A 21,294-nucleotide genomic window follows, 5' to 3' on the forward strand; every position below is an offset into this window, starting at 1 on the left:
TTTGAATTGATAGAAGCTCAGGGTCCATCGGGAGGGATCTCCTAGTGACCTTGGAGCCCACAGACCCCAGCAGAGACCCCCCCGCCCCACCAGCCCTCCTGGTTACCTCCCCGGCCCAAAAGGTCCATCGGGGACTGGCCCTGGGAGTCAAGGATGCTGCGATACCTCCCCCTGCAGAGCTCCCCTTCCTAGGGAGCCTGGACCAGACCCAGCCTCTCCCAAGCCCTTGGCCAGCCCTCCAGCCCTGATCCAGTGGAGCTTGACGTCATGAATTCAGCAGCATTTCCATGAGTACCCCTCCTCCCCTGTCCCAGCGACCGTGCTAGACCAAGCAGTCTGTGGGGCTGTCTGGCCTCCTCCTTGGCTGTACCCAGGGTACATCAGGCCTCCTGTCCACACCAAGCCCCTGCTGGGGACAGGCACTGGGACCTTCCAGGCAGCCCACCGGGCCTCAAAAAGCCCCTCTCCCATGGGCATCATCCTTGAAGGCACCTGGCCCAGGATAGACACGTTGTCTCTGAGAGTGGCACCTAGGCCTGGGCAGGCAATCCCGGGAAGCTGCCTGGAGGAGGAGGTGGCACACTTGAGTCATTTGTGATGGGAGTTCCACCTGCACGTGAGAAGGCCAGGAGGGTCCAGGCAGAGTTCCTGGGCCTGGACAGCATGTGGGCCATAGGCAAGGCAGGGACACTGGCCTCAGGGGTCGGAACATTGTCAGGGGAACAGATGGAGGGGCAGACTTGGGGCAGGTGACCGCCCGAGGAAACTGAAGTCCAGCCCTAGGTCCAGGTAGTAGGGAGAAGGTGGGTAGGGACAAGACAATGGGGACAAGCCTCACGGTGGAGAAGCTCGGGAGGAGGGTGGGGGTGCCCATGACAGAGCCCCAGGATGGGCTCCTGCGAGGGCACAGCTCCACCCCCCGCCCCCCAGGCTGAGCCCACTTCCCATCTCCAGCATCCCCAGGGATGGGAGAGGAGACTCCAGGTGGGAAGAAACCCCTGATCTGAGGCTGCTCCTAGGGGAAGAGGGATGGCTTACCCTGACCCCTGATGGCCAGGCCAGGCCAGGCAGGTCTCTGTCTCTCTATGTCTGTGTGTCTGTCTCTACCTCTGCCTCTCTTTGTTTCATTCTCTCTCTGTCTGTCTCTGTCTTTCTGACTTTGTGTCTGTCTCTGTCTTACTCACTGTCTGTGAGTGTGTGTGTGTGTGTGTGTGTGTGTGTGTGTGTCTCTGTGTGTGTTGCTGGGTCTCCCTGGTGGCCTGGGGAGGTCCTGCGGGTGGTGTGGCCTGGTTGAGCCTAGTCAGCCGTGGGGAGGGGCCTCTCCTGCTGGCCCCGGCCTCCTGGGCCTTTGTCTCCCTACCCGTGCATTGAGGAAAAGAGTCATCGGTCTGGGATAACAACCTCCTGCCGTCCAGAGGCTGGGGGCCCAGAGCCACATGTACAGGCCAGGACAGTGGGCAGACGGCTCCATCCTGGAACTCTCAAGACAGCAGGGGGTGGGGCTGACCAGGGAGGGAGGCGGCTTCACATTGCCTGGAACACCCAACCTGAAAGAGCAACTGCTCCCCAAGCCGAGACCAGGGTACCAGGGGCCAGGCAGGGCTCGGGAACCCAGGACACGCCAGCCTGGCCTGTCCTGTGGCGCCGCCAGACCCCCATGCCTGGGCTGCCTCAGTGCTCCTGCCATCCTCTCCTCCAGTCCCACTGTGGGCACCAGTGGGGCGGGGATGCCTGATCGTGAGCAAGGAGGGGCTCCCCAAACCCTAGGCTGAGGCTGGGGGCTCTAAGGAGACCCGAGACAGTGTGGGGCAGTGGGGGGACTGGGCAACTGGCATATCCCCACATCCTACAGCTCCAAGGAAGACCTGTCCTTCCCGCAGCCCTTGAAATTCGAGCCTAAGAGAATCTAGAGCCAGGGCCTGGCCTCTGCTCCCAGCCAGGCACTAGGCACTGCAAACCCCAGGGTGGGACCCTGACCACCTCACAGACCTACCCCACACACAGCTGGCTCTGGAGCCCCACCTGGGCCGTTCACAGACTAGCCAGGCCCCGGATGGTGGCTGGAGACGGGCGCCCCTCCTCCCACACAGCCAGACCCCTCAGCCAAGAAGGTGCAGCCCCACGGGCACCACAGGGCACCCCTTGCCCAAAGGCCTCCAGGTGGAAAGGAAGCCAACACCTCATGGCAGGAGAGGAGGCCACGCCTGCCTGGGGTGTGGGGGATGCAGCCCCACCCTGGGGTCTTGGAAACACGGCCCTACCCTCGGGTCTGGGGGAAGTGGCACCACCCTGGGGTCTTAGGGATGTGGCCCCACCCTGGGGTCTGAGGGACACAGCCTCACTCTGGGGTCTGGGGGACATGGCCCTACCCTGTGGTCCGGGGGATGTGACCCTACCCTAGGGTCTGGGAAATGTGGCCCTACCCTGGGGTCTGGGGGACATGGCACTGCCCTGGGGTCTTAGGGATGTGGCCCCCCTGGGGTCTGGGGGACACAGCTTCACCCTCGGGTCTGGGGGACATGGCTCAGGGGATGTGGCCCCACTCTGAGGTCTGGGGGACACAGCCCTGCCTTGGGGTCTGGGGGATGTGGCCCCGCCCGGAGGCCTGGGGTACACAGCCTTACCCTGGGATCTGGGGGACATGGCCCCGCCCTGGGGTCTGGGGGACGTGACCCTACCCTGGGGTCTGGGGGATGTGGGCCCGCTCAGGGGCCTGGGGTACACAGCCTCACCCTGGGGTCTGAAGGATGTAGCCCTACCTTGGTTCTGGAGACACAGCTGTGATCACAGGGCTGGCAGCTCCCAGAGACCTAGTTGAACCCAACCTTGGCTCTGCCCTGGTCCTCTCTGGGCTGTGACCTGGGCATGTCAGGTGGAGGGGTGGCCAGAAGCGCACAGCGGGCCAGGCGGGCCATTCCCCATTCCTGCTAGAGCATGCCCAGCCGAGCTCCAGTCTAGACCCAGCTGTTCATGAACCCTCTGCCAAGGCCATGTAGCCCTGTGACATCCCGGCTCCCAGCTGCAGTCTTTCCCAGCCTGTCATGGGGACAAGGCAGTTGGGCCCTCCCTGACCAGGCAGGCCTCGTGGGACCCCCAGCCCTGCCCTGGGTCTGCCAAGGGGACTTTGTGCTCTGGGTGCAGACGGGGCGGGGGTGTGCATCCCCACCATGCCACTGGGGCTTGGCACTCGGCCAGTCACCCTTGGCTGGGGGCAGCGGGAGCCAGGGCAGCAGGAGGTTAGCCGGGTGTCAACGAGGCGATCTCCTGGGGTCAGTGGGCACCAGCTGAGGGCAACATCTCCATGGGATCCCGGGTGGCGGGCATGTTCCCTGGAAGGTTCGCTGTGGCTCCTGTCTGTGCCTGAGCTCCCAAGAGCATCTGGCCCTCGCATTCCATCAGGGGAATAAGAGGGCAGCTCTCACACGGCCCCAGCCCTGGACTGGGGAGGGTCATTGTCCCCTAAGCCTGGAGGTGCTGTTCATGGTGGGTGGCTCTGCAGATGCCCCTGTCCGGCCGGGTGGGCAGCCACCCTTCCTGCTGTGAGCCTCAGGCACAGTGCCCACAGCCAGCCCTTCTGTGGGGACCGCAGCCAGAGGCCCAGGAGTGGGGCACAGTCCCTGGTAGCTCCTGGACCACTCAACATGGGGTGAGAGGCCCACAAAGCCCCGTCATCTTCACACACAAGGCTGCAGGAACTAGTCTAGGGGCCTGGGCACCCCTCAGGGTCACTCCAAAAGCGCCCTGGCTCCAGTCTCTGTGTACCTGGGAACCTCAGTGCTCCTCCTGGGCTCTGCTCCCTCCTAGGCTCGAAACTGCCAGGGCACCCAGGCCCCTCCTCCTAGGATCCCTGCCCCCGGGCAGCCCCTGCCTCACCTCTCCCTTCAGGGCCATCCCTGGGAGGGGTTCACCCAGCAGCCCCTGGACAGAAGGAGTGGGCCTACTGTCTTCTTTCGTTCATGTGGCATCTGAGCATGCATTGAGCCACATGCGTTGGCCAGTGTGGAAAAGGAGCTGAGAGGCCAAGTCAGGATGGGGTCTCTGGGCCCCCGCCATGCCAGCAGGGTTCCAGCCTCCTCCCAACCCCATGGTTGCAGATTGGTGGGGGCCTTGAGGAACCAGCGTTTCCCAGCTCCCCAGTTCAAGTCACACACTTCGCAGAGATCAGCCCCGCTTCCTCTGGGAGGGCAGTGAGGACTCCTGGGAATAGCCTGGCCCACCCCCACCCCAGGCCACAAGGTCCCAGATGCCCCCATAAAACGTTCAAGACCTCCATGTGGGCCTGGGTTTCATATGTTTGTCCCCGATATGTAGGCCTTGTTATTTGGCACTGAGGACGCCCCTGGGGCTCCATAAATGTCACTGGCCGCAGACATTCGGTGCCTATTTCCACCGTTCAGCGCTGGCCACCCTGCCCAGGCCCTCGCTGTGGGCCAGGTCGGGGGACAGCTTGTTCCTCCTTCCCACTTGCGGTGTGATTCCAAGAGCTCTAGGCCTCTCTGGGCCTTCAGGTGGGCCCTGTGGAAAAAGCTCTGCTCCCAGCTGGCCAGGCCCAAGCTGAATGCCCCTGGAGGGACCCACGCCCACGTTGGAGGCAGGAGACTCCAGCATTGGAAGTACAGGATCCAAATGCCTGGGGGTCTCCAGCTGCCCATAAAGGAGTCACAGTGACACCTTCTGGCTCCATGCCCGCTTCCCTGGGGAAGGGCCCTGTGGCCAGCATGGTGGGCACTGCCTGCCTGCCCTGGCCAAGCTGCACAGGGGACCCACGCCCAGGGAAGCCCTGTCCACGCCACGGACAGAGGGGCAGGGCCTGACCCAGCACTGCCCCTGGAGGCTCCCAGGGGACTGAAGCTGGAGGAGCCTGGTCTCCATTGCTAGCCACAGAAGAGTCCACACCTCCAGCTCCCGCATTAACCGAGGCCGAGCAGACGGAAGGGAGGGGAGCCGCCAACTCCCAGTGCTAGAACTCCAAGTCCTGCCTGGGCATGGGCTGCCAAGCCTCCCACTGCAGTGGGTCCCTTAGGAGGCACTCAGCTTAGCAGCTCACTGGGTTTCCCGTCCCTGTGGCCTGGCCCTGTCACCATTCTTTAGCCCCAAGGTCCTCCTGGCAACTCAGGTCCCTCACACTGGCTCCATACAGTGCCTCCCTGCCTTCCTGGCCTCTGCGCACCCTACCCACCACCCTCCTCCTCCCTCCTCCTACTCCCTCCCTCTCCCTACTCCCTCCTCCTCCCACCATCCCCCTCCTCCCTCCTCCTACTCCATCCTCCTACTCCCTCCCTCCTCCTCCTACTCCCTCCTCCCTCCCTCCTCCTCCCTCCTCCTCCCACCCTCTCCCTCCTCCCTCCCTCCTCCTACTCCCTCCTCCTCTCACCTCTTCCCACCCTCCTCCTCCTCCCTCCTCCTGCTCCATCCTTCTACTCCCTCCTCCTCCCTCCCTCCTCCTACTCCCTCATCCCTTCCCCCTCCCTCCTTCTACTCCCTTCTCCCTCCTCCTACTCCCTCCTCCCTTCCTGCTCCTCCCTCTCCCTTCCTTCTTCCTCCCTTTCTCTCCCTCCCTCCCACTCTCCTTCCTCCTTTCCTGTTCCTGCCTCTCCCTCTCCCTTCCTTCTTATTCCTCCCTTTCTCTCCCTCCCTCCCACTCTCCTTCCTCCTTTCCTGTTCCTGCCTCTCCCTCCCTCCTCCTTTTTTCCTCCTCCCTCCCTCTTCCTCATCCTCCTTCCTTGTTACTCCTCCCTCCCTCTCCCTTTCCCTTCTGCTTCTCCCTTGCCTCCCTCCCTCCTCCTACTTTCTTCCCTCTCCCCTCCCGCTCTCTCCCTCCCTCCTAGAGGCTGCTGTCTTCTGCTGCTGTCCTGAGCAGCACAAGACATAACCAGGCCCATGCCCATTTGTCTTTTCACAATGGCAGGCTGTTACTGATGCTATTTCAATTATAAAAGCCACGAGCTGCAAGGAGTTCCCCGGGAGGCAGTGCTCCTTAGTACTTCCCGTTCACCGGGTTGTCAGGGCCGGAACCCAGGCTCAAGCCACTGCACAGGGCAGTAGTTACTGCATACCTCGCATCAAAGCACACTTAAGCCACGTGTAATCGTATAGATTAAGCATTCCACAACCAAGTGACACCTAACAGCAAGAGAAAAGGGATAGGAAAAGGGGTCAACGATCTGGTCCAAGGAGAGCCACATGGACAAGGAGCATCCTAGCCTGACCCTAACGGATGTCAGCATCTTGCAAAGAAGAGGCCTTGATATGGGCAGAGATTTGGTCTGCGGATGCTGAATCTGACCATGAGTGATAGCAGGATGGCGTCTGTTATGATGGCCGCCTCGAGCTGGTGAAGCCCTGCTCTTTTTATGGCCACAGAGTCCTTGGTGAGGACGGATGGTAAACAGCGTGCCTGGCTACGCCCTTATCTGGTGGGGGACAGCCTCTGGATTAGGCGAACGTCTGGTCCCTGCTGGCCTGATGCCCTCTCAAGTGGAGGAAGGAGTCTTTTCCTAAGAGGGAGTGACTATGTGGAGAGTGCTCTGCACACCTGTGCAGCTTGTCCCATGCCCCACCCATGCCCAAGCAAACCATGCCAGCCTCCACACCCGCATGCCAGGCCTGTCTTAGTGACCCTGGCACCTGGACTCCCAGCCAGGCCGAGAGAAGCCCACTCCTCCCAGCCCCTCACCAAGGGGCTGCCTCACCCACAGCCCACAGCCGCCTCACCAAGGGTGGCCCACAGCCGCCTCACCAAGGGTGGCACCCTGCAGGTCCCTAGGCCTCCTTCTAGATGTGGCTGACACCTGTTCTGCCACCTTGGGGGCCACTGGCTCAGAGTTACAGGGACATCAAGGCTGCGCTGGCTGTGTGGGGGCCCCTGCCACTCTGAGTAGACAGGGATTTAATGTGTGGGCCAAGTGCTTAGAAAGTCCCCAAGGGCTGGGCACAGTGGCTCATGCCTGTAATCCCAGCATTTTGGGATGCTGACGCAGGAGGATTGCTTGAGCCCAGGAGTTCAAGAACAGCTTGGACAACATAGTGAGACCCCCGTCTCTACAGAAAATCAAAAATTAACTAGGTGCGGTGGCACATGCCTGTCGTCCCATCTACTTGGTAGGCTGAAGTGGGAGGATTGCTTGAGCCCAGGAGTTTGAGGCTGCAGGGAGCTGTGATTACATCACAGCACTCCAGCCTGAGTGACAGAATGAGGCCCTGTCTCTAAAAAATTAAATGAATAAAACAACAGGACCTACGACCATGCCATGGGCCCCTACACTTAAAGAATAAACGGTGTTCTAACTGTACTACAAGGGTTTTCTTTTTCTCCAGCAGCTAAAGAAGCACTGGCCTCCAGCTAAGCAACGTCAAGACAACTGCAGCTTACCCAGCTCACAGAGGCTGACTCTCCAACCCCCTGCTCCACCAGCCACGACAGCAGCGTTCACTGGACCAGGACACTGACTTCAGGAGCTTTCTCCTGGTGAGAGACCACGACCGTGGGCTGGTCCTGGCCAGTTTACAGAGGCTGTGCACTTGAGCCCCTTTGAGTCCTGGAAAGACCTAATTGGAATACATCTACATGTGAAGCCTCCACCCCAAGGTAAGCATGAGTCACATGTCACATGCATGTGTGTTCCACGAACATGTGTGAGGGCCACCCTCATGGATCTCCATAGACCTCCTGTAGCCTGTGGAATATGTGTGTTTGGCCCCTGGACTGCACACCCTTCTCCATTCTCTGCCTCCTCCCAACCAGCTCCTCCTCACGGTCTGTGCTGCTCCTGCACGGCTCCCCAGAAGCTGATCTGGCCACACACAGGCTGGCCAATGACCTCGAAGGCCCAGTCCACCTGCCGAGTTCTTCCTTCATCATGCTCACCGTCAGTCCCCTCGTCCACAGCCTCTTCCACCGTTAGAATGACTTTCAGAAAACCAAAACTAAACAGTATTGATTGTGTCATGTATTTGTAAAAATCAAGCAAAATATAAATGCACCATGAGAGTAAAACACGACCCCAGATTCCTTCCCTGAGAAGTAAACTGTGCTAATCCTATGTGACATTTAATCCAGGCCTCCCTCGTGCATTCTATAGGATCCTGGGGTTAACATACAGGCCAAGAGAATTACAGTTTATTTAATTATAGGTCTACCTTAAATGAACAGTGTTGACTGGAAATATGTTCTTTAAATTATGGGAAGGAAGGAATGAGAAAGAAGGAAAGAGGAAAAAAGAAAAAAGGAAGAAGGGAGGGGGAAAAGAAGAGAAAGAGAGGAAGAAATAAAAGAAAGAAAAGAAAACAGAGGTGGGGGAAGGAATGATGGAGAAAAAGAAAATATGAAAGGAAAAATGAAAAAAAAGAAGGAAGGGAGGGAAGGAAAAAGAAAACAAGAACGAAAAAAGAGAAAGAAGAAAGAAGGGAGAGGAGGGAGTGAGGAGGGGAGGGAGAAGGGAAGAAGGAAGGGAGGAGGGGAGGAAGGAGGGAAGGAGGGGAGGGAGGAGGGAAGGAGGGGAGGAAGGAGGGGAGGGAGTAAGGGAGGAAGGAGGGAAGGAAGGAGGGGAAGAGGTAAGGGAGGAAGGAGGGGAGGAGGGAAGGAAGGAGGGGAGGAGGGAAGGAAGGAGGGGAGGAAAGGGGAGAAAGGAAGGAAGGGAGGAGGGGAGGGAGGAGGCAGGAGGGGAGGGAGGAGGGAAGGAGGGGAGGAAGAGGGGAGGAAGGAAGGAAGGAGGGAAGGAAGGAGGGGAGGAGGAGGCAGGAGGGGAGGGAGGAGGGAAGGAAGAAGGGGAGGAAGGAGGGGAGAAAGGAGGGAAGGAATGAAGGGAGGAGGGGAGGGAGGAGGAAGGAAGGAGGGAGGGAAGGCAGGCAAGTGAGGAGATTATCTGGAAAGATCACTGAGGGACCCTGAGGTAAATCTTTAACATGTCAGATATGTGTTGTTAAACAATCCTTCTTCTGGCTGGGGGCGGTGGCTCATGCCTGTAATCCTAGCACTTTGGGAGGCCAAGGCGGGTGGATCACGAGGTCAGGAGTTCAAGGCCAGCCTGGCCAACACAGTGAAACTCCGCCTCTACTAAAAATATAAAAACTAGTCGGGCGTGGTGGTGGGTGCCTGTAATCTCAGCTACTCGGCAGGCTGGGGCAAGAGAATTGCTTCAACCCGGAAGGTGGAGGTTGCAGTGAGCCAAGATCACACCACTGCACTCCAGCCTGGGTGACAGAGCAAGACTCCGTCTTGGGGGTAAAAAAAAGCTTCTTCCATTAAAATAAATGGGAGGATAGGAGCTGAGACAGAAGCCTTTCAGCCCGTGCTGCAGGCAGCCCCAGCCCCAGGCATCATTGCGGTGGGAGACTGTGACGCTGAGAGGTTTCTGCTCTGTTCCTCCAGGGTTCAGGCCTCGGAGGATGGTAAGTGGGCTCCCCTCAGCCCAGCCTCCTCCCTAGATGTCTCCATGTCGAGGTCTTTATTTTTATCTTAACACAAGGACCTGCTTTGTTTTGTTTTGTTTTGCACAGAGACTCACACAGGCTGGCTGTCAGGCCATGGCTATCCCTGCCTCTCTGCCTCCCTGCCCTGGCTGCAGGGCCAGCCCTGCTGCAGCTGCCGCCTGATTCCCTTCCTCACCACCCAGGGGAGCTGCTCCTTGGGACCTCCAGAATTCCTCTCCTCGGTTTGTGCCCAAGCACACCCTCAAATCGTTGACTGGAAGAGATGTGAGGGTGGTGAACTTTGCTGGAATTTGCCTGCCTGAAACTGTCTTTATTCTAGTTTTTTAAAAGCAAGCTTGGCTAGGCGTGGACTTCTAGGTTGCAAATGACCCTTGCTACGAGTTTGCAAGGGGCCGCTGCATTTCAGCCCAGCATCCCTGCCGCAGGCCTGATACTCCAGGCTTGATGTGCACATCAGTTAGGAATGACTTGGGTGGCAGATGACAGAAAACAGCCAACTCTAGCTTAAACAAACACACTTTCATTTGTTTTAAATCTCACACACAACAAAAGCTAGGATTTGGCCTGGCGTGGTGGCTCATGCCTGTAATCCCAGCACTTTGGGAGGTTCAGATGGGAGGCTCACTTGAGCCCAGGTGTTTGAGATCAGCCTGGGTAACGTGGTACGACCCAGTCTCTACCAAAAATACAAAAATAAGCTGGGCATGGTGGCACCTGCTGTCTTTATAAAACTCATATAAAGCTGGCGCCTATGGTCCCAGCTACTCGGGAGGCTGAGGTGGGAGAATAGCTTGAACCTAGGAGGTTGAGGCTGCAGTGAGCCGAGCTCTCACCACTGCACTCCAGCCTGGGCGACAGAGTCAGACCCTGTCTCAAAAAACAAAACAAAACAAAACAAAACTAGGGTTCATGCGAGAGCACCATGAGGTCACTGGAGCCTTTTCTATTTTTGCTCTGTCTTCCTTAATGGGTCGCTTCCTTACTCATGATCTCAAGACGGTTGCGGTGACTCCACCATCACATCCTGTGTCCTATGCAGGAAATGGGTGCAAGGGAAAAGATATGCTGAGCAAAATGGGCATGCTTTCAGCAAAGCTTTGCCTGCTTGCTGGAGAAGAGACCTTCTCGCTGTAGGAATTTATCATGACATCTCATCGTCCAAAAGGGTGTCAAGTGCCCACCATAGATTCTCCTACAGCCAAAGAAAAGCTGACCTATTTTTTTTCTCACTAGATTTCTTGGGCTTTATATTTCCAATTTTTATTGAAAATAATTACTTCACTGGCCATATTTTTGTTTTCAGTAGTTTACTTTTTTGTTTTATTGTTCCTTTTTCATAGATGATTTTCTTTTTCTTCTTCTTTTTCTTTTTAGACAGATTTCACTCATGTTGCCCAAGCTGGAGTGCAATGGCATGATGTCGGCTCACCACAACCTCCACCTCCCAGGTTCAAGTGATTCTCCTACCTCAGCCTCCCAAGTAGCTGGGATTACAGGCATGCACCACCATGCCTGACTAATTTTGTATTTGTAGTAGAGATGGGGTTTCTACATGTTGGTCAGGCTGGTCGCAAACTCCCAACCTCAGGTGATCCACCCGCCTCAGCCTCCCAAAGTGCTGGGATTACAGGCGTGAGCCACTGCGCCCAGCAGATGATTTTCTTTCTTTTCTCCTTCCTTCCTTCCTTCCTTTTCTTTTCTTCCCTTCTTCCCTTTTTTGAGACAGAGTAGTGGCATGATCTTGGCTCACTGCAACCTCAACCTCCTGGGTTCAAGCGATTCTTCCACCTCAGCCTCCCAAGTGGCTGGGACTAGCTGCGCCCACCACCTATAATTTTTAAAAAATTGTTGTGCAGAGAAAGGGTCTTGCTATGTTGCCCAGGCTGGTCTTGAACTCCCGGACTCAAGCGATCCTCTGGCCTCAGTCTCCCAAAGTGCTGTGATTACAGGTGTGAGCCACTGCCCTAGGTGGTATTTTTTTCCCCAGGTCTTCCTAATGATACTTATTAGAGTTTATTTAAAACTCTTGTCTGTGACCTGGATTATTTCTGTTTCTTTCAGCATCATTTTTTGGTCTGTCTCCCTGGAGCACTCACATTGATTCTGTGGACACATAAATCAGACCACATCTCACTTCTGCCTCAAACCTCTGACATCCAGAAAGCAAGGAAGTCCTCAGAGACTCAAAGAATCACAATGGCACTGCATTGAAACACACTGAATTTGAAAGAAGGAAGGACCCATGCATCTTTAGCAATACTAAAAAACAAACACAAATAAGGGAGGGAGAGTTTTCTTTCCTGAATAATGACATCTCATCAGTGTAGCAGGGGAAACGGAATGAGAAAGCTGGAAGTGCTGATGTCAGGACTGAAACAGGAGCATCCGTGGGGCCCAGGAGAATCGCCGTTCAAGGGCAGCTAACTCTTTACCTACCGAAGCAGACAGTCCCCAAAGACGAGGCATGGCCTTGATTGGAGCCTGGATCCGGGAAAAACACAAAAAGCAAGAGCAGCTCAAAGGAACACCACGGGAGGGAGGATAGGGCAGGACAGTGCAAACGCTGTGGGCCCCAGCCCATCCCGTCACGCTGTCACATGTGAAAGGAGAATGCCGATTCACGTACGGTACCAGATGCCTCCAACTTCCTCTCTAAGGGGCCAAAAAGCAAAAAGACATGCATCTTGTTTTTAGAGACAGAAGAGAAGAGAGATCAAATGACTACAGCTCATCCTGGAATAACGTGGGGGTTAGGGGCACCAGCCCCCATGCAGTTGAAAATCCCCACATAAGTTTTGACTTCCCTGGAACTGAACTGCTAACAGCCTCCTGCTGACTGGAAGCCTTGAGGAGAATATGAACAGGTGATTAGCACGCATTCTGCATTATCTGTGTCACATACTGTGTTCGCACAATACAGCAAGCTAGAGTCTAGAAACGTTAGTGGGAAAATCCCAAGGAAGAGAAAACATAGTTCCTCTTCCCTGCATTGAATGGATCCTCCTAAACGCCTTTGTCCTCCCGGTCTTCAAGCTGCAAGGCTGAGGAGGAGGAGGGAGGGGACTTGGCCTCACTGTCTCAGAGGTGGCAGAGGCAGGAGAAAATCTGCATGTAAGGGGCCCACACAGGGCAAATCCATGTTATTCAAGGGCCAGCTGTAAATGTGAGCAGTTGGTGAATCCTGGTGCAGGATGCTGGGCGCCATGGCAGACCCTCAGGCATCCCGTGACCCCTGTGTCCCAGGTTCCTGCCCTGACCTGCTTCCTGCCCAGCAGAGCAGAGCAGCGGTGCACCCTCCCCACCCCTTTTGGCAGCTCCGCAGACTTCAAGGCCCCTCCTTCCAGCATACTCTCTCCATCACCCCCGCCTTGGGAAGTGGAGGAAGCCGCCCCTCAGAGAGGCCCTCATGGCAGGTTGCTGAGGATGGCCTCGGGAGGACAGCTCCCAAGGACCCAGGCCCTCCTTCTGACAGGGCATGGTGCCTGGAAGCAGAACCTGCCCCAGGCGAGCCTCAGATGAGACCCTGGCCCTGGCTGACACATCAAGAGACCCCGGGTCTGAGGCCCCAGTCCCCCGAAATGGGTGCTGATAAGCCTGTGTGGGTGAAAACCCATGCACGTGCACTCATCTGCCACCCAGCCCTGGACAGACCCAGGGTGCCTGTGAGAGCCACTGCTCCCTTCCACAGCTTAGGACTTGCTGCAGAAGGCAGGGAGGACTGGCTGCAGAGCTAAGGCCACCCCTGGAGGCCTGGCCTGGGCCACGCCCCACCCCAGCCTCTTCCCCTGTCTCTCCCCTCCTCTCCCTCCTCCTCTTTTAACTCCCCTCCTCCATCCTCTCCTCTCTCTCCTCTCCCCTCCTCCTTTCCCCTCCCTCCCTGCTGGGGAGGCCTCTGGCTGGTAAGCACAGCGGGAGCCCCCAGCTGTTGCCATGGATGTGGGCCCAACACAAACACAGGATGCTAGGCTCCTCTGCCAGCCCTGGACCCCCCACCTCCAGTCTGGCCCTGCGCAGGGTTGGGTGGGCAGATGAGGTCATTGCCATGGGAGCCCCCTCTGCAGGGCTGCAGGGGGAGTGTTTATTTGGTCTTGTTTCCCTGGCAATCTGCTGGACCCCTGCTCCACTCCGTCCACCATCCACGGGGGCGTTCCAGCAAAGCCGGCCAGCCAGGCCCCGCTGCCCTTGGTGCCTACGCCAGCCCCTCCACCTGGCCTGGCCAGCCCCACAGCAGACCCCTGCCCAGAATCCCAGGCTATCAGGCAGGGGCTGCCTCCTAAGGGGTGGATAGGGAAACTAAGGCCCTGGAGCCTGGCAGAGGCAGGACCAGGCACAGCCAGGACTCTGGTCCCCAGCCTAGGCCCTCTGCAGCCCCCAGGAGTGGCCTGCTCTTTCCCGATCAGCCCCCTGGGCCTGGCTGACCCAAGGTCACCTCCAGGGAGGTGACAGCTCTGCCCAGCATCCGCTCCTCCTGGGCCAGCCAGTTGCTGTATGCACTGGGCAGTGGGCAGGGAGGGGCTTCCGAGGAGCACAGAGGCTGCAGAGAGAGTGAGCCCAGTGGGGCTTAGAGGAGCAGGGGCTCTAGTACACGTCAGGGGAACTAAGAAGACAGGCAGCATGGTCCGGGGACGAGATGCAGGATGGGTCAAGGCCACCCCCTTGTGAACATCCACCCCTGGCCCCAGGATGAGGCCCACCTACATGAAAAGGCCCCAGGAATAGAGTGTGCAGGCAGAGAAGGTGAACCCCTGGGACCCCAGGCCCCAATGCAGGGGCTGTGGCCTGTGTAGCCAGGTGGGGCAGGGAGTGAGTCTGAGCCTCCCACACCTCCAGACTCCTGCACCCCGGGGCCTCCTGGGCCACCTCCTTCTACCCTGACAGCAGCTGCCTGCCTCAGGAGCTGGCCCCAGAGCACCTACAGTGTGCAGCCTGGGCCAGACCCCATGGAGGCAGTGAGGACATCATCCTGGGGTCCCTAGCAGTTCCCAAGGTCCATGACACAGGAAGGGCAACACAGGACCCCACCACAGTCTGTCTGGGCTCTGGGGCGCCAGACTCATTCTTTGCACCCTCCCCTCCTCCTCCTCGTCCTTCCTCTTCCCTCGTCTCCTTCACCTCCTCCCCTACTCCTTCTCCCACCCTTCCCCCTCCTCCTCTCCAGCTTCTCCCTCCGTCTCTGAAGTCAGCCTGGAAGGCCAGGCAGGATCCCACTCAAACCTTCCTGCTGCACACCCCGGGCCCTTCTGAGACATTACCTAACCGCGCCTTCTTACCTAATCCCCTAGCCATCCCCTGCCGCTGCCTGGAGGGGAGCCAGATGCCTGCCACCGCCCCAGCCGCCTGGGCCCCACCAGCCTGGGCTCAAGCCTGGGCTTGCCTCTGGCCACCTGTGTGTCCTGGGCCTGTCTCCCACCTGCGAATGGCACCAGAGACCGCTCGGCTAAAGTAGCTCCATGCCCTCTGGGCCCTGCTTTCCTCACCCCCGCAAGCCAAGATGGGGATGCCCTGTTGTCCGGAAACTGCTCAGGAGCATCTGACCCGTGCTCGAGCAGGTGAGGAAGCACCTCGTGGATTCCAAGGTGTCTCCACCCACCTGGTGGATGTCGTTGGACAGGGTGGGCCCAGGGCCAGTGGGAGCTTGTCAGCTGGAGACCAGAGTGGGGGTAGGGGCCAGGCCTCAATCACCCAGGAAAGTCGAGGTAGGAGGCTAGAAAGGAGATGAGCTATGGCTCAGCACACACCTTCAGCACACACCTACAGCACTCAAGCACATGTGTGCATGCAGAGAGAGACGCATGACACAGACACATGGACATGTGCATGCATGTGCATGTACCCACATGGACACATGCACCTGTGTGCAGAGACACACAACACAGACTCATGGACACATGTATGCACACATATGAATGTAGCTGCATGAATCCAGCCACACATATGCACACATACATGCACTCACACATGTAGACAGATACACGGACCCAGCCATACATACATACGAGACACACACAGACACAGATGCATAGGCCTAGCCATATACATGGATGCATGCAGACACACAAAAGATACACATATGTATGCACATGCATGCACAGACACCAATGCATGGAACCAGCCACATGCACGCAGACACACTCGAGACACACATGCACATACAGACACAAATGCATGGAGTTAGCCACATATATGCATGCACACATGTGGACACATGCACAGACCCAGCCACATGTATGCATGGAGACACATGCACAACACACACACATATGCATGCTCACATGTGGACAACACAAACCCAGCCACACACACATGCATGCTTGCATATAAATGCACACAGACATGTGGACACATACAACACACATGCACACGTACACAATACCTGCAGACACAGATGCACTGACATGCAGACCCACACGAATCCAACCTCACACATACACATGTGCAGATGCAGACCAGACACACAGAGCATCCACCATACACAGGGAACCCTAGCCCACACAACTGGACCCAGGACAAAGGGGGAGGGTTGGCTGTGCACAGTGGCCTGTCCAGCCAGTCCACCCACCAGCGACTTGTCTCCTCAGCAGCCTGGCCCCCGCCTGCCTGTCGCCTGCACCCGGATTGAATTCAGCTATGGTTTCACTGCTGTCACTCAGAAGAATGGTCTCATTCAGGCCACCTGCTCCCTGGCTGGACAGCTCACATCCCCCTCCCGCCTGGGCACAGAGGCCCAAGCCCCTGACCACCCTGCCCTGCACAGGCCTGTCCCTCCAGGCAGAGCTATCCAGTGTGGCTTCACCCGGCAGTGGCCAGAGGCTGAGGGCCAGGGGCCGGCACCAGGAAGCCCCCACCGGCCTCTTAGTAGGAGCTGTGGCCATGGGTCTGGAAAGGAAGCCTGGACTGTTCCCATCAGGGAGATAATCCCACATTCCTCAGTGGGCAGCCCCTCCCTCCCCGGTGCTGTGGTGGGCGTGGACCTGGATGTCTGGGAGGGCACAGACCAGACGCGAGGTGGCAGGAGAGGGGCAGGCAGGGTCTGGAAGGGCGAGTGAGGGGTTTCCTGCAGGGCATGTTGCAGTGGTGGGGGACCCACAATGTGGGCTCAGAAGGGTGATGGAGGTGAGAGGAAGGTGAGGACTGTGGGCTGGGAACTGGCTTCGAGTCAGGGAGGTGAGGGGCTATGCCCAGAAGACCCCACATGCAGGGCAGGGGGATGATGAGGCCCTGCTTGTGACCCAGCAAGAGAGTGAGGGGCCTCCTTCAGCAAGAGGCTGTGGGCAGGAGTGGGATGGAGCTAGGTGTCTGAGAAGACGGGGCTGGACAGGGCTTCCTGTGGCACCCCAGGCTCTCCAGCCTGGACATGGGAAGCACAGAGACTAGGGTCAGCTGGGGCCATACACGCAGCCTGGAGATGCCTGCCCAACAAAGGTGCCAAATGTGGCTGGGAGATGGGGCTTCTCCCCCAGGGTTCCTTCTTAAGTCCTCCTCCTCCCAACGGTCCTCCTCTTCCTCAGGGCTGTCCTCCTCAGGTCCTCCTTCTTCCCAGGGCCCTCCTCCTCCCCAGGTCCTCCTCTTCTTCAGGGCTGTCCTCATCAAGTCCTCCTTCTTCCCAGGGCCCTCCTCCTCTCCAGGGCCCTCCTCTTCCCCAGGGCCCTCCTCCTCCCGAGGGCCCTCCTCTTCCACAGGGTCCTCCTCCTCCCCAAGTCCTCTTCCCAAGGGCCCTTCTCCTCCCCAGGTCCTCCTCTTTCCCCAGGCCCTCCTCCCCAGGGTCCTCCTCCTCTCCAGGGTCCTCCTCCTCCTGAGGGTGCTCCTTCTCCCCAGGGCCCTCCTCCTGTCCAGGTTCCTCCTCCTCCCCAGGGTCCTCCTTCGTGGATACCCCTTCTCCCCAAAACCTCCCCCTTCCTCCTCCTCCCTGGTCCCTCCTCCCAATTTCTCCTCCTTCCCAGGCATACCTCCCCGAGCCCACCTCCTCTCCAACCCTCTTTCTTGTCCTCCTCTTCGCAGAGGCCAACTCCTAGGCCTCCTCCTCAGGCCCTCCTCCTCGTCCCAGGCCTACAGAAGCCCCTGTGAAGGCAGCAGACTGAGATGAGGCTATAATTTAAAATACATTTATTTAATGTTTCCATTTGTTTCTGGTTCTGTGACACAAAGCTGTTAAATAAATACATTCTCCACAGTCCCTCTGGGACGGGCCACACAGATGAGGTAGAGAAATCATTGCACGCACGGAGACTCGGAGCACAGACAGGGCCCCTCCCACCCACCCACACCTGGCCAGAAGCCACCTGGGGGTCCAGGTCCCTCAAGGCAGGGCCTGGTGCAGAGAAGGTGGCTGGGATCCCCTGGCCAAGGAGCGGGCTGAACCCCTCCCAACAGCCCTTTCTCCTCTACTGCCCCTCAGAAGAGAAGCGCATGAAACAGGAGGCTCCGGCTGAGCGGCCTCTTCATCCAGCAAGACATTCGAATATGTATTTGTATAGAAACCAACTAGCTAGCAGACATTTTTGGTCTGCCTTGTTTAAAAAAATAGTTTTCTGAATATTTATGACATAGAGCTAAATGTGGTATTTGATTAAAAATAAAAACCTTCCTCTGACTTGACGCCCTTCATAGACCCAATAGTGACTGAGTGACAGTCTTGTCATGTCATGAGGGTGTGGCCAGCTATGCTGCTCAGGGACCAGTGGATGCGGACACTGCAGAGGGCAGGGGCTACCACCCCCACCCCTTCTAGCCAGGCTTCACCAGACAAAGGACAAACCCAGCGTCTTGCACCCACACTGTGGTACGGGGATGCAGCTGCAGGCACATGTCGGGGTGCTCTCTGAACCACAGGAGAATAAAGGTTCTTATGTACTATAACACAGGGACGGCAGAGACCCACAGCAACATAAATAGGTTTTCTTTTAAAAACACAGACACCCCGGCTTTCTGGAGACCCTTAGGGCTCTGAGACACCTATTCACTCAGTAGTTCCTGTATCCATACCAGCAACCCGCCCAGAACCCAGCCCACAGCCATCAGGACACCCACAAGACGGAGCCCAGGGCGAGAGGCTCTGGGAACCTAAGGCACCGCCATGCCACTGACAGCACAGCACAGCCAAGCTGACCATGCCAGTATACACACACACACACACACACACACACACACACACACAGACCATGCCAGCATGCATTTATACAACACACGCTTACACACATTGACCACGCCAGCACACACGCACTCACAACACTCACAACATACGCACACGTATGCACACTGACCACGCCAGCACACACACTCTCACAACACACACACACACTACACCCTCAAACCAAGCCAGGTCAGTGCAGGTCACCCTGTCCCCAGCACACACAACAGCAGGGCCATAAAGCATGGCGTTCCATGGCCAGATGCGAGCCCAAGACTGCCTCCACCGGCATCTGTCCCAATCTGTCCCCCAGTGACACAAAGCAAGCAGCTTCCTCATGACATGACATGAACCAATCAAAGGGCTGCCCTGCCCCCTCACCATGCCCGCCCCTCTCCACCACCCCCAGCTCGAGAATCTGCACTGAGCTGCCTGGAGGCCGGGCGTCTGCCCACAGGGTGCAGGGCAGGGGCCGCCGGCTGGCCCACCACGTGGCAGTGGCTGGCTGGCATGGGGCTGGGGGAGCTGGCTTCCAGAAGCCCCAAGGGCTGTGGCCAGACGCAGCTCACTGTATTTCCTTAACTACACACATCTATCTCGATTTAGTGGTTTCAAACAACTAAGCAGATCAGAGGCAGGGTTAGGAGGGAATATGTCAGGGACGGAAGGCGGGGCCCTCCCAGACTGGGGCTTGGCCGAGAGCGGGGAGCTGCAGCCGGGGAGGTGGCAGGGATGGAGAAAATAATAATTATTATATTAGTTAAATAATCATAATAATTTAAAAGTCACTGATATTTACTCCAAAGAGAAGTGCTCAACGTCAGAGGTCGGCAGTGTCCCCCCGAGCCTGGGCACCCGCACGGCCGGGCCCTGGGAGTGCAGAACAGGCTGCGTCCTCTTCTAGTGGTTTGAGTCTCTGAAGACAGTGCTGGTGTTGGGGCAGCCTGGGCCAGGCCAGTCCCCAACGGGTGGCCCACACGGAGGCCGCATGGTCACCAAGGTGCACCTGCCACCCATGCCTCAGAGGAGGTGGGGAGGGAAAGCCAATGGACTGGCATGGGGAGCCGCTTCCCAGGGACTGGTGTGTTAGGGATGGGAGAAAGCTCAGAAAGCATTGGTGCAATGCTCTCGGGTCAGAGGGAGGAAGCTGAGGCCCAGGGCACAAGCAGAGAGGTTGCATACGCCAGACCAGAGCCAACCCCCGCCTCTGGGTCCTGGAGAGGGGGAGATACAGGGCTTGGACAGCCAACCCAGAGGACCCCCGGCACCCTGCTCCAGCTGTACGCCCCGACGTGCTAGAAAAGCCTCTCAGTCCTTGCAGGTGTAGACCCCTCATACTGCATGCATGGCCCTCACCCTGCACAGCAGGGTTGGCCAGGCCCGGGGACTCGTCCCTTGCAGGTGTAGACCTTCTCACACCATGTGCAATGCCTGCACTCTGAGCAGCAGGGCTGACTGGGCCCAGGGCCTCAGCCCTTGCAGGTGTACACTCCTCACACCGTGTGCAATGCCTGTGCCATGTGCAGCAGGGCTGACTGGGCCCAGGGATTCAGCCTTGGCAGGTGTAGGCCCATTCATGCTCTGTGCAATGCCTGCACCCCATGCAGCTAGGACTGAGCCCAGGGACTCACCCCACGCTGCTAGGTCTGAGCCCAGGGACTCAGCCCATGCAGGTGTAGACCCATTCACACTGTGTGCAATGCCTGTACCCCACGCAGCTGGGCTGGTCGAGCCCAGGAACTCAGCCTGTGCAGGTGTAGACCCTTCACACCGTGTGCAATGCCTGCACCCTGTGCAGCAGGGCTGGCAGGGCCTGGGAACTCAGCCCTTGCAGGTGTAGACCTCCTCACGCTGCGTGCACTGCCTGCACTCCACATAGCAGCACCAACGCACCTGGCACTGGCAGGGCCTTGTCACCACCCGGCTCTGTGTGTTATGGCCGCGGCCACAGCAGATGCTCTCGCAGTTCTTCTCACGGTGGCACCTACGGCCAGCGGTGCCCGGGGAGAAGCGGCCAGCCAGGCAGAAGCTAGGCGAGTCATCCAGGTGCACCAGCTCTGGAGTGCGGGGCAGCGGGTCGCTGCCACCTGCCCCCGAGGCACGGCCCCGTGGTGGGGAGATGGCACCTGCCTCGCCGGCAGCTTCATTGGTGGTGCTGCCCACCTTGAGTGCCGTCTCATACTTGTGCTTCAGATGCTTGCCCACCTCATGGAAAGGCGCCAACTGCCGCCAGCAGGTCCGCACCGTGCATGAGCCTGACACGCCGTGGCACTTGCAGGTGGTCTCCACCCCAGCCTTGATCACCTGGCAGAAGGGTGCGGGAGGGAGGGCAGTGTGAGGGCTGTGCAGGTGGGCCCAGTGAGCAGACCCTGCCCTGGACCCCCAGAGGGACCCCACACCCCCACCCAGGCCCAGGCCCTGCCGGCGGGCGTCACCACTGCACATCTCACATCCAGCTCAGTCTCCCGGCTCGTAGCATTGTCCTACCTCCTCCAGGCTGCCGACTGCCCAAGACAGAGGCTCCAGGGCCGGCACCTCAGCCCCTGGGGTGGCCACCCTGGCATCTCCACAATGGGAGGCTCCTGCCTGATGTCCACCCTGCGTCAGGGGCTGCCCTCAGCAGGGGCTAGACCTTCTGCCCCCATTCCCATAATCCCAGTCCTGCCGGGACTTCACATCTGCTCTCAGCACACAGCTTGCTGGACAGGTGAGGACAAACATGACCTCATCTAGTG

General features: G+C 58.2%; 1 protein-coding gene across 2 annotated transcripts in view, besides 6 other annotated features; it reads right to left on the reverse strand.

Annotated features, from left to right (window-relative positions):
* Nucleotides 148-1,148: an enhancer, noted in NCBI's record as "H3K27ac-H3K4me1 hESC enhancer chr1:228088986-228089986 (GRCh37/hg19 assembly coordinates)". NCBI's record gives its function as "activates a minimal SCP1, AML or CMV promoter by ChIP-STARR-seq in naive H9 embryonic stem cells {active_cell/tissue: H9 hESC(naive)}" and the evidence as "EXISTENCE:reporter gene assay evidence [ECO:0000049][PMID:30033119]".
* Nucleotides 12,987-13,136: a silencer, noted in NCBI's record as "fragment chr1:228101825-228101974 (GRCh37/hg19 assembly coordinates)". NCBI's record gives its function as "represses an EF-1alpha promoter that drives an FKBP-Casp9 reporter gene in an ReSE screen in phorbol 12-myristate 13-acetate-treated (for megakaryocytic differentiation) K562 erythroleukemia cells {active_cell/tissue: K562(+PMA)}" and the evidence as "EXISTENCE:reporter gene assay evidence [ECO:0000049][PMID:32094911]".
* Nucleotides 13,843-14,640: an enhancer, noted in NCBI's record as "H3K27ac-H3K4me1 hESC enhancer chr1:228102681-228103478 (GRCh37/hg19 assembly coordinates)". NCBI's record gives its function as "activates a minimal SCP1, AML or CMV promoter by ChIP-STARR-seq in naive H9 embryonic stem cells {active_cell/tissue: H9 hESC(naive)}" and the evidence as "EXISTENCE:reporter gene assay evidence [ECO:0000049][PMID:30033119]".
* Nucleotides 14,641-15,437: an enhancer, noted in NCBI's record as "H3K4me1 hESC enhancer chr1:228103479-228104275 (GRCh37/hg19 assembly coordinates)". NCBI's record gives its function as "activates a minimal SCP1, AML or CMV promoter by ChIP-STARR-seq in naive H9 embryonic stem cells {active_cell/tissue: H9 hESC(naive)}" and the evidence as "EXISTENCE:reporter gene assay evidence [ECO:0000049][PMID:30033119]".
* WNT9A (Wnt family member 9A) overlaps nt 17,519-21,294 on the reverse strand; it is a 29,277-nt gene continuing 25,501 nt past the window's right edge. For both annotated transcript variants that reach the window (NM_003395.4, XM_011544271.3), the window contains exon 4: nt 17,519-20,863. In NM_003395.4, coding sequence (NP_003386.1) covers nt 20,381-20,863 — 483 coding nt within the window. In that variant the 3' untranslated portion in view covers nt 17,519-20,380. The remainder of the gene's footprint in view (nt 20,864-21,294) is intronic.
* Nucleotides 18,318-19,181: an enhancer, noted in NCBI's record as "H3K27ac-H3K4me1 hESC enhancer chr1:228107156-228108019 (GRCh37/hg19 assembly coordinates)". NCBI's record gives its function as "activates a minimal SCP1, AML or CMV promoter by ChIP-STARR-seq in naive H9 embryonic stem cells {active_cell/tissue: H9 hESC(naive)}" and the evidence as "EXISTENCE:reporter gene assay evidence [ECO:0000049][PMID:30033119]".
* Nucleotides 19,182-20,044: an enhancer, noted in NCBI's record as "H3K27ac-H3K4me1 hESC enhancer chr1:228108020-228108882 (GRCh37/hg19 assembly coordinates)". NCBI's record gives its function as "activates a minimal SCP1, AML or CMV promoter by ChIP-STARR-seq in naive H9 embryonic stem cells {active_cell/tissue: H9 hESC(naive)}" and the evidence as "EXISTENCE:reporter gene assay evidence [ECO:0000049][PMID:30033119]".

This window comes from Homo sapiens, chromosome 1 (assembly GCF_000001405.40).
Source record: "Homo sapiens chromosome 1, GRCh38.p14 Primary Assembly".
NCBI classification, from domain to species: Eukaryota; Metazoa; Chordata; class Mammalia; order Primates; family Hominidae; genus Homo; species Homo sapiens.